The 12,124-nt window shown below is 38.1% G+C and overlaps 1 protein-coding gene across 8 annotated transcripts in view, besides 1 other annotated feature; it reads left to right on the top strand.

Annotated features, from left to right (window-relative positions):
* Window positions 1-12,124, top strand: part of TBX15 (T-box transcription factor 15) — a 106,464-nt gene that overhangs the window by 59,350 nt on the left and 34,990 nt on the right. For all 8 annotated transcript variants that reach the window (NM_152380.3, XM_047429138.1, XM_047429131.1 and 5 more), the window contains 3 exons: window positions 3,550-3,651; window positions 5,344-5,515; window positions 6,558-6,725. In NM_152380.3, the coding sequence (NP_689593.2) occupies window positions 3,550-3,651; window positions 5,344-5,515; window positions 6,558-6,725 (442 nt within the window). The remainder of the gene's footprint in view (window positions 1-3,549; window positions 3,652-5,343; window positions 5,516-6,557; window positions 6,726-12,124) is intronic.
* Window positions 901-1,195: a silencer, noted in NCBI's record as "tiled region #5383; HepG2 Repressive non-DNase unmatched - State 13:Ctcf, and K562 Repressive DNase matched - State 10:DNaseD". NCBI's record gives its function as "represses a minimal TATA promoter and a strong SV40 promoter by Sharpr-MPRA in HepG2 and K562 cells {active_cell/tissue: HepG2 | K562}" and the evidence as "EXISTENCE:reporter gene assay evidence [ECO:0000049][PMID:27701403]".

The following is a 12,124-nucleotide window of genomic DNA, read 5'->3' as shown; positions in this document are numbered from 1 at the left end:
AGATATGACAAAAACATGAAGTTAAAATAAATCTGAAATTTTGTTTATTTTCTTTCTTTTCTGGAGCTCTCTTCCTTCTCTCAGTAGTGAATAAAACCATTAAAGGCTTCCTAGGGGGAGAAGATGGGCTGGATAACTGTGTTCAATATCATCTCTTTTTCGTTGCTTGGGTCTCAGTGTACTTCTGTTCCACATTTTGTGGTGTAAAGGCTTGGAAGAAAACAAAGTAACTCAAGGAAATTTTTTTAAAGTTTTTGGTAGAAGAGTTGGTTTGGAGAGAGAAGAAATATTACATTTTTTTTTTGTCTATAAGATTTTCCGGTATTCTTTTTGGGTTTTTACTTTATTACTCTTGGGTCTCTGTATTCCAGTCATGTTTGTTCCTGATATCACTTCGTTATTCCCTGTGCTTTAGTGAATTGAGTTCATTTGAGCATCTCCTTGACAACCTTCTTGTGACTCATTTTGTAATTCTTCTGCAGTATTTTCATTTCCATATCCCTGATTTCACAAGTTCACCTTAATATCTGGATACTCTACACATTCCCCAAGACAGACACATAGTTTGTTCTTTAGTAATAATTGAAATCCTTTGTTTAAGTTTAGAAACTACATTAATTGGTTCTGTATTCAGTTGTCTCAACTGTTGTTACTACATCTAATTCTTCTCAGGTAATTCTGAAACAACTCTGAATCATACAAATAAGGCTTTCTCTTCTGTGAATTTTCTTCATTCCTTCTCATTCTCCTGGTTAATTTCTTGCTTCTCACTCATTTTTCTTGCTATGCAGTATTGTCAGTATTCTTTTCCATTTTAATTCCAATCTCCATCTTCTTAATTATGTTAGTTATATATGGCTTTCTCTCCTTTTTCTTACTTAGATGATCTTAGTCACCATCTACCTCCTTCCACACCCCAAACTGTGATCCTATTGATTCAGAGCTGCTGAAGTCTATAGAGCCCTCAGTCTTTGAGTGTACCAACCCAACCTGCATAATCAGCACCATGGACAGAGGTGCTTGCAAGGATTAATGGGTTTAGAAGACAAAAGAACTGGCCTAAATTTAGCCATAAAATTAAAACCAAACACATCTCTTTTTGTAAAACATGAAAGGTTAACTTTTCTTTAGACTGTTGTGACTTCACTTGATATTCTATGCTAAAATGTGACAAAAAGAAAAAAAAGGCTTGCGAAGTTTTTAAGAAGAGAATTCAAAGGTAGTCACAGAATTTTAAAGCAAGGGGGCACTGTAGAGATTATCTAGTCGATTTCCTTTGTTTTATAGGTGATGGGGTTAAATGATTTATCCAAAGTCACATAGTTCATTTATTTTAGAAGTCAGGTACTGGAAAGGGATGGGTAGCTTCTCCATTAAAGGTCATATAATGGTTCCAGACAGAACAGATATTGAATTAAAAACATCTAACACCTTTTTTTGTAAAGGTATGAATAAAAGAAATCTCTCTCTTTCGTGTAATACAGCCTCTCTAGGTGACTGGGGGAAACCATATTTTCTTATCTCAGGTAGTAAATGAGAGGACTTTTGCCCCATCTCTGGCAAGATGCCCTCCAAACATTTACATATACAGGGAAGCTATAAATCAGTGTTATTAAGAAGGGAATTACTTATCTGTATTTAAATGTGTAGATCAAGTTTCCCAAATTTTTGGAATTAATTAATGCAAATTAAAGTGCCTAACCTATAGTGAATGTTAGATTTAGTCAATGTGAGTATCCCATCATCAAATTTCATTAGCCCACCATAAGACAAAAGTATGAGGCCTTTAAATAAAAATTGTGAGGTAGGGGGAGAAATTTTTAAATGATAATATATCCTAGAAGCTTCTGAAGAGTAATAAGGTGAGAAAGATGAAATAGTTATGCATTAATTTTGTAACCATATAAGAATTAGCCACCATCTCTATTAAAGGACTGTGATCCTTCTTGTGCTTTCTCTCAGATATGATTATGATGTCACTGACCTACTGCCAGGGGATATTAGCCTTTTGGGTTGCTTCTCCTGGATGAGTAGTGAGTGTGTAACTAGCACAGAGAGCCTCTCCTGTGACCAACCAGTACATATTTGCAAGATGGCTGTTTGAGGTCAGGGTATGGTCTATGGCCATGAAATGGAGCAAAGCCAATTAGGCCATATGTGGATCAAGCCTGTGACCTTGACCTCATTAGCACTGTGCTCTGCCCAGCTCAACTAACTAGCCCCAGATGGTTAAGCTTAATGCAGCATTTTGCATACAAGTAGCCTAGAGCACATTCAGGGCAATCCAAATTTTTGAACTGAGAACTTTTTATGTCCGGCTTGATACAAAAGAGCTTGAGCTTGATGTTTTTCTTCTTTCTTATGGTTAAAGAAGAATGGTGAACTTTATTCTAGACTTATTGAAACTCAATACCTCTTTTGGGCTGCTCTGTCTCCTCCTCTCTTCAATTATGAGAGAAGTCGTAAAGTGCTATATCCTGACCTCACTTGCTTTGGCAAGTTTAACAAGCCATTGTGGTAGAAACAAGGTATTGCCCAGAGGCCACGAGAATTCATTTGGTATTTGCTTCCAATTCCACAGGGTCCTTCCTCTGACACACACGTTGACAGCCTGAGAACTTGCAGAAAATTTTCTACAGTTTTATGCACTAAAAAATCTTGGTGGCTCTTTGTTTGGAGACTGGTAGCACCTTCCTTTTTTTCTTTTACACTTGAGAGACTATTTTTAGAGTGGTTATTTTCAAATAAACTCAGTTGAAAATATTTTATGATAACTTGCAATAAACTGAAAAGCTCTTCAGATTATAAGAAGAGTGTAAGTTGCTATACTAACCTTTAAAAAGATTATAGCTAATAGGAAATGTATGCATGGCTACACACATGCACACACATGCCTGTGCATACATTTATATCACAACTAAGATTAACTAAAAATACAAAGCAGGGTTGAACCCTTGGAGAGTATGAATCATCAAATAGGTCAATTTAAGTTAAGAAGAGATAGTAGTTCAGTAGTATAAGTCTATTGTATATTTCATAGTGATAATTTCCAAAGTGAAAAAAATTAGTCAACTTTGAGAATTAGAGGACATTAGAATTTGATATGCTTAGAGTACCTAATAAGAATACGTTGTTTAGGCTGGGTGCATTGGCTCACACCTGTAATCTCAGTACTTTGGGAGGCCGAGGTGGGCAGATCACGAGGTCAGGAGTTCGAGATCAGCCTGGCTAATATGGTGAAACCCCATCTCTACTAAACACACACACACACACACACACACACACAAATTAGCTGGGCGTGGTGGCTCATGCCTGTAGTCCCAGCTACTCGGGAGGCTAAGGCAGAAGAATCCCTTGAACTCGGGAGGTGGAGGTGGCAGTGAGCCAAGATTGTGCTACTGCACTCCAGCCTGGGTGACAGAGCGAGACTCCATCTCAAAAAACAAACAAGAAAACAAACAAACAAAAAAACCCACATTGTTTAAGCTTTTACCCCTGCTACTTCTCCCACCCTGATTTCTGAGCTTTCTGTTTTATTCATCTTCATAGGAGGATGTTTCCTGCCATGAGAGTGAAAATCACTGGCCTAGATCCACATCAGCAGTACTACATAGCAATGGACATTGTGCCTGTGGACAATAAAAGATACAGGTAACAATAACTCTGGGATGTGGAAATGTGGGTATCACCAGCATTCCAAGACAATTCTTCAAACTCCTTAGAGGAAATAGTTTAGCAATGCATGCTGTACAGAGAACAAGGAATGGAGACTATGTCAATGGCCTGTGGCAGAGCACCAGGTGGAAAAAGTGTTAACTTTGACCTGGGATTCCCCCCTGTGTCTCTGGATAGAATGGGATTGTATAGTGTCTCCTAAGGTAGCAAAAATCAAGTGGATCTTAAGTCTAAAATTAATTTAATTAACATTGGAAGTGATTAACATATTGAATAATTTGGTTTGTGAAATGCTAAATAAATTGGGGTGATTTATTTTGGAAAGAGGAAGGAGAGGTGGAACAATAAGGCATATTAAAATGTATATTTGATGGATCGCCCCATAGATGATGGAGAGGAAGAACAAGAGAACTGGGTAAAATTTCAAGAAGAATATCTACTTATGGAGAATTATTATTCATTGATATGGGTTGTGAGTGAGATTGTTAAGTAATTTTCCCTCAAACTGATTAAAAGCCAACATAGTCTCCATGTCTCTTGGATGGCTTATACATAGTTCTTGCCAGAAAAAAAAAAAGTTGTGGCTTATTTCTTCTCTTGAGGTCTCACTCAAATCAGTAAATCATTACTCATTTTTGAAATATCTGAAGTCTAACAACTTGGCCCTAAACCCATGAATAGGGAGGCAAGAGCTGATGAAAAAGGCCAGGACTAGTATGGCAAGTGGGGAGAGAGATGGCTGAGAGAGACACGGTCTGGATTTCAGGACTTAGGAGAAAAGATGCTTCCAGCGTGTTTTAGGGGATCTTGGGAGTTGTGATTTGGACTGGGTGCCTCTATTTCTCAGGGTCCAGGTCCCATGTGGTCCTTTAGAACTGAGAAGCAGGAAAGTACCAGATCCATGGAGATGTTTCTTCTGAGCTATGAGAAAATTGGCAAAGTCGGGAAAACTGACTTCCTTTGCTACCAAACAATGTCTTTTTTCCAGTGACTTTGTGGGAAAATAGTGTAGAAGATGGTGTTCAAAACGGGTTCATCAAAGGCAATGTGAACTGGGAGTATTTGGTGGTGCTTCTGAAATGGTTGCAGAGAGGCAAAGGCCCGTCATAGAAATGCCTCAAAGTCCAGATTCTTAGCAAGGAAATGGTTAACCAGTGAGAGGCTTGGGAGGGCTCTGCACATGGCTGCATTTTATAGGACAATATGGAAGATGTTTTTAATAAGGAACAAAATCCTGAACAAATGGCCAAGGGATTATATGGTTTGCATTTGAAAGGTGAAAGGTTGCAGTAAAATGCCTTTTCTATAGCTAGACATGTGAGTTCAGGATGCATGTGTGCACACAGGGGTGCACGGCATGGAGAGAGGGAAGAAAGGAAGACGGCTGTGAGAATGTTTTCCTTGCGAGGGCTGAAGATTTGATCATTAACCACAACACTTCTCTGCCCTCCCCACTCCATCTTTTTGTCCATTTCTATCTCTATTTCATTTCCCTGGTTATCTGCCCTTCTCTTTTCCTCCTTTGAGTCTCTGTTTCTTTCCCATTACTTCTCCATTCATGTAATCTCTTTGTTTTTCTCTCCTTTCCCCTGTCTCAACTTGTTTCCTGGGCCTCTGTCCCTTCTCTGCCTCTGTCTCTGAATTTTCCTCTCTTCCTCTTTATCTCAGATATGTGTATCATAGCTCCAAGTGGATGGTGGCTGGCAATGCTGATTCCCCTGTGCCCCCAAGAGTTTATATACACCCTGATTCTCTAGCTTCTGGAGACACCTGGATGAGACAGGTGGTCAGTTTTGACAAACTCAAGCTTACCAACAATGAGTTGGATGATCAAGGACATGTGAGTCAAAGAATCCTATCTCCCCTTTCTTTCTCTCTTCCTCTGTTTGCTTTAGAGCTGGCTAGCCCCAGTCTTTTTCAAATAGGTAAAATAAGGAATCTCTATGCCACTTTAAGTAATTTTAAGTAAGTAAGCATAAAAGTGTTTTTTTCCAGTTAAATTCCATTTATTACAAATCTAACATTTAGCAAACATCTGTTATACATCAAGTTGTGTTTACCAGACAAAGTCCTTGTGCTCCAGAGGCTTACAGTCTAGTCGAGGAGGCAAGAGAGCAAAACAAGACAAATCAACCAGTGGTAGAAAAAATCACAACATTCAGTAGAATAACCCACAAGGCTATAAAACAAGAGAAACAAGTGAATGACAGTTTCAGCTAATTTGTCAAGAATTTTTTTATAGGGAAGACTAAATCTTAAGGCTTTCCAGGTATAATTGGAGCGTGTGATGTTATTAATTTATCTTTGGCAGTGAAACACATACTGAATTTTCACTGAATGGCAGGACCCATACTGGGTGCTATGGGAAGATTGAATAAGCTAAAACCATTGCTTCCATCTTCAAGGAAATAACAATTTTCTGAAAGAGTGAAAACCCATATCTACCATTTACTCTCACATAACAAAATAATGTTCACATATTCAATAATGAATGCAAATAATAGGATGTAGAATTTAAAGACAGCATGAATACATGCTGAAAATTTGAAGCTGGAGGGAACAACTTGTCACATGGCAGAGGTTCTGAAACCTTTTAGTGACATGTCCATTGGTACTAAAGAAGTCATTCAGCATTATCCAATTGAAGCAAACATATTACTTTTACCATCTATGATAAGGATGTCCTGCTATTTGGTTCCATGTAATGCTATTTAATCACTTAGTTCTTCCTGGGCAAGTATACTGATTTCTAGTTTTCTGTACATCTCACCTCCAATCTGTGCTTTTCCTATAGTGCTTCAACTTAGTGATTTATTTTTGCATGAGAACAAAATGTAGGTTCCTTAAAGCCAAGCCTGGTACAATTCCCCTTTTTATTTCAGATCATTCTGCACTCTATGCACAAATACCAGCCTCGAGTTCATGTGATTCGCAAAGACTTCAGCAGTGACCTTTCACCCACTAAGCCTGTTCCTGTTGGGGATGGGGTGAAAACGTTCAACTTTCCTGAGACTGTGTTCACCACAGTTACGGCCTATCAGAATCAGCAGGTAAGAGGTGGCCCTTGAGAGTCTTCTGCTACATCTGTTTTTTGGTCCTTCTGCATAAGATTCCTTAGGTATTATTTACTTTCAGGGGAATTTGACATACAACAACCCTTAGTCCACTAAATGTTAAGTACTATACAGTGTTAGAGTTCTCAGCAGCTGTAAAGTGTTTTCAACTTCAGATTTTCCTTGTGAATGCCACATTTGATCTAAAATAGAAGAAGAGCTTTAGTTTGGTTTGGGTGCTATTTAAGAAGCTATTAAACCATCTCAAATTCCTTAGATAGTAAAACTGCAGAAGCCATGGAGGGTCCATACAGAAAACTGTAATAATTAAGATTTTTCAAGCTCTGATACGAGATATAGCATCAACATAGACAAGGACTTTGGAGCAACCAGAACTTTGGGATTAGTTCTGGCTCAGAAGAAGGGGAGTAAGAGTCTGAGTTCTTTGGATAACTGATTATAGACTTTCCTAAGAATACTCCAGCCACCATTTAAAATAGTTTCTGATGAAGGCAGTGATGTGACAATAAATATTTCAACATCAGAATTTACTTTGTAGAACACTGAAGAACAAACATTCTACTGCCTCATTGAGATCAGTTACAGAGACTAGGAGAGCCATTATTGTAACCCAAGTTGAAACTAGAAAGCTACAACTCACTTTGACAATGAAAGAGGACTAAGCATGGGTTTCTGACAGCCTCTTCACATCCTTTACCTTCTTTTATAGACAGTGTTCTAGCACATGAGTACATTCTACTCATAGAAATATTTTGTTTACATCTGGGCTGAAGTGGGAGCAGGATACCATGGTTAAGATCATAAAATTTGGCAGCAGATAAACTTGGTTTGATTTCTGATCTTTTCACTGACATTGTGTGGTATTAATTTCTTTCAACTTGTGTTTCCGGTCTTGAAAATGCGCCTGCCTCGTAGAGCTATGAGGACTAAATAAGGAAACGTGTATAAATTCACTGACACAAACCTGACATCTAATTAATAGTAGTCAGCCTACATTGCTCCGTGGCTGGGTCTGAACAGGCATGAAAAGCGGGGCATAGAAGCAATTTTAAAGAATAGATTGCTTATTAAGGAAAAAGTGCATTGTTCGAAATTGGAGGAGCTGCAATGGCTCTCAAAGGAATTATAATCCATAGGTAACTACTTTGATCTCTCTGTCGTCATGTCATATTGGTGAATTCATGATGTGCTGACATGCAAAATAGATGAGTCATACTCAATTCTGCCCATTTTGGGATCAAGATGACAGCTTTTGCCTGTTTAACAAGCCTCTAATCCCTGGATAAATCAACAAGCATGCTTATTTAACATTCCCTTTGGCTGCGCAGATATGATTTAATATAATACAGTACCTTCTAGTAATACAAAATAACCTCGGGTCTTTCCCCCAGGAATCCTGAAGTTTGCATCCTGTAGGTCAGAGCTGTTACCTAACTATACTTTTCGGACTTGTTCTGAAGATGCCAGGTAGCATAAATTGTTCTCTTTTGTGAGCTATTTTCACCTCTTACTGTGTTTTTATTCTTCATAACATTCTAGAATGAGAACAATCAGTACGTCAAAATTATTTACTTCATTTATTTCTTTTTAAGGAAACGGTTAGGAGGCCTGTGAAATAGTAAAGAGAAAAAAATTTAGTGGTAGGTCCTTGGTGTTCTTAGGAACTTGTTTGGGGAAACACTGAAGAAAAGACAATAGAGGGAATGTAATGGAAATGGAACATTACCCAGACTTTCTAAGGAAAAGCAGTGTCCTGCTCCACAGACAGCAATGGGCTAGACATTTGGAGACCTGGGTTTTAGTCTTAAATTTTCTACGAGTTACACATGTTGCTCTGAGCAAGTTGTGTATTTTTACAATAATTGTGCTTCAGTGCTTCAGTTTCTTGTCTTAGAAAATGAGGAATTGGCCTGTGCTTTACAAGGTCCCTGAAAGCTCTGGAATTCTAATTTATCCTTCTTTTTTTCTGCATGATTTTAAATGAGGATTGGGAGCAATTGTTCTCAAACCAAGGCAATCAACACGATTTTCAACTACTGAAAATTATTAGAATGTTCATGTCTGAAAATTGTTTTTATTCACCAGATAATCTTTACCAATAAATTTTTAGTAAGTCTACACTTGAGAGGTATGAACATGGTGTTTTGTAAATAAAATATTCCCCAAGATACTGTTTATTTATGACTCTTTTCAATTCTCCTGTTGTTTTTATTTTTTTGTTTGTTTGTTTTTTGGGACAGGGTCTTGCTCTGTCACTCAGGCTGGAGTTCAGTGGTGTGAACATGGCTCACTGCAGCCCTGGCCTCCTGGGATCAAGCCATCCTCCTGTGTCAGCTTTCTGACTGTAGCTGGGACCACAGGCGGGTATCACCATGCCCACCTAATTGTTTTGATTTTTTTTTAGAGATTGCCTCTCATTTTGTTGCCCAGGCTAGTCTTGAACTCCTGGGCTCAAGCAATTCTCCCACCTCGGCCTCCCAAAGTGTTGGGGTTATTAGTAGCATTGTTAAACCTCCTGTTTCTGCTAACTTCCATTTTGTCACCCAGGTTGAACACCTGGTTGTCACAACATCCAGTCTGTCACTAATGTCTTTTGCTTCTACTGACAGAATATTTTCTTCTTTCTAATCTGATTGATTTTGCCCTTGTTCTGTTCCTGCCTTCCCCCAACCTTGGGTTCTTATGATAGCTTCCAATTAGGTCACTTGGACTGCAAGCTTAATGTCTCACAAGCCATCCTATACATCATTGTAAAGCCCAGTGATAATTGCACCATTTCTATGCCAAAAATTGTCAATGACTCCTCAGTGCCTAGGGAGTCAAGTGCTGGACCCCGAGTCTTTCCAATAATGTCCTCTGTGGCTAATGACCAACTACATTTCTAGGCTCAATTTCTGTTATTCCTCCTCACACATCTGCAAGAGTGTCGCAATCTGGTCAGATTTTTACTGTTGCCTGAACTTTGCAGCATCCTTGCCTTTGTATGTCCCTTTTTCTTTTCCAGGAATGCCCTTCCCTTTTGTTTTTATTTGTCTTGATTCCTTCTACTCTTCAAAAATTCAGTGAAAATACCATTCCCTACCACTTCCTTTCCTTTTTTCAGCTGCAAATGAGCTCTCCCCAGTTAGAACTGTTAGGGGACTGCACTCTCTCGTGACCTCATCACATTGCAACTTTGGCTTGCATGTCCAATCTTCCTCTTGATATTTTGAGCTTTTTGAGAACAAAAGTTGTACCTTTTACAAATAAACAGTATGATGTAGAAAACACGAAGTTGGGAGTTAGGAGACTTGAGTTCTAGACCCAACTCTGCAATTGACGGACTGTACTACTTTTGACAAATCACTCTACCTTAGTATTCTCATTTACAAATTGATGATTTTGTCTGAATCAGTACTAGTCTATGGAGAAGTTTTTTATGGTCCACTGAAAAATGAGAAAAATAAAGAAATATGGGTACTTTTATGAATGTAGACATTCAATTTAATAGACTATTTTATTTTGTCTTTCCTACTTTTTTGATATAAAAATGTCACTTATTTTATGAAATTATGAGACAAGAGAGAGTAGATAGATGTTAACTGTCTCCATTTGGTAGAATGAAAAATTCGGATGTAATGTTGATTGCTCAAATAATGGGAGGGGGATTAGAATTGACCTAAAAAATTCTGAAGCACATTTCTGTAATTCTAAGATATTTGCGTCTGACCTATATTGCATAGCACTGAATATATATGGTTGGCAAATGACTGAAATGAAACTGAATGAATGATTAGCCAACATGACTCTACCACTGGTTTCTTTATATATCTGTGGTTCTGTTTCTTTGGGTGTAAGTAGTAGTAAAGAGAGCTTTTCTATTTTCATGGAATATGTTATGCTTTTCTTTCCCCATTTTCCATTCCTTCCTTCCATCCTTGCTTACTGACCAATAGACTCTTAGGGCTGCTAGCATACTGAAGTTATTATTACTATTATTGGCTCTCTATGTGCCAACTTGGCAGGCCTATGGCAGAGAGAAAGGTGTAGCATGCCCAGAATCTCTTCAAAGAGAATAAAATGGTAGATGTGGGAATAAAGGTGACTCAACACTTCATGCTTTTTCTTAGAAGAATCTGATGCCAACATATCCTCACAGAATTAGCAAGAAATTTCCATTGCAAAGTCTTTGTCTTCTCTGGGGGAAAAAGAATGCTGAACGTTGATTTTTGTTTTCGAACAGGAAACTAGATTTCAAAAAGACATGGCCTTGTTTTCCCAGGTAACACAGTCTTATTTCTTGATGAGAATTGGCTACATGAACCAGATAGGAAGTTGGAAACCACAGCCAGGTTTGTGTGAGCAAATCCAATAGGATTTCTGAGCCACTCATTATGGTCTAAACTAGAGAGCCATTTTGCTGGCTCAAATCAGTGTGGAATCTTTTTCATATGGGCTAAGGTTTTTTGTTTTGTTTTGTTTTCCCCCCTATGGAAAACCTTTCAAGCAATATAGTATGAAATAAAAATAACGAAGAGTGTTAATAAGAGAAGGCCCCTTCAGCCTTCGTGCTGTAAAACCATACTCAGGATATTCAAGTTTCATTTCCTTTTCAGGTTGTGCTATTTATGTCTGCCTGGTGCACTGTGAAGTATACCTCATTTATTAACTGCCTCCATGTTACTAGGCAAGAAGTCCGTGACAATGATTAACATTAATGGTGGCAAGTCGGCAACCACCCCCTTATGTGCCTCAGTGTTCTATAATTCAAACTACACAAATTAGTATAAGGTTATGGAAATAAAATCAGTAAAGTAAAATGCTTTTACAACCTCTGTATTTTCCCTGTCTTCTCATTATCACTGGACAAAGTTTGGACATGTAGACTAGCAGACTTGTTTTAGTCGCACAGGAGATTACTAATAGACCTTGTTCTATTAGTATAGGATTTTTGTCTCTAATGCCTCCAGTGAAAGCAAATAGAATCAAGAGCATTGTTTGGTCTAGATTCTCTGAAGCTTATCATGGTTTTGGGACTCTTGATCCCTGGCTCTCACATCATCATTTATTCATTCACTTGCTCATTGAATAAATATTCAATGAGCATGTCACACTAGGTTCTGCTTAATTAAATGGTATATAAAATAGACATGGTTCCTACCTGTGGTCCGGGGGGAGTTACATTTAGTAAACATGTAAATACAAAAATACATGTGTAATTACCAATTGTGTTAAGAGCAAAGATGGAATTTAAAAGGATGCAGTTAAGAAGAGTAGCAGAAGTATCCTATTTTGGAGAGATGATCAGAGAAGATCTCTCTCAGGAGATAATATTTTTGACTGAGGCTTAGGACGAGGAGTCAGCTATGTGCAAAGTAGAGAAATGAGCATTTCAA

This window comes from Homo sapiens, chromosome 1 (genome assembly GCF_000001405.40).
Source record: "Homo sapiens chromosome 1, GRCh38.p14 Primary Assembly".
Classification (NCBI taxonomy): Eukaryota; Metazoa; Chordata; class Mammalia; order Primates; family Hominidae; genus Homo; species Homo sapiens.
Note: the sequence above shows the minus strand (reverse complement) of the source record. Positions and strands in the feature narration are given on the sequence as shown.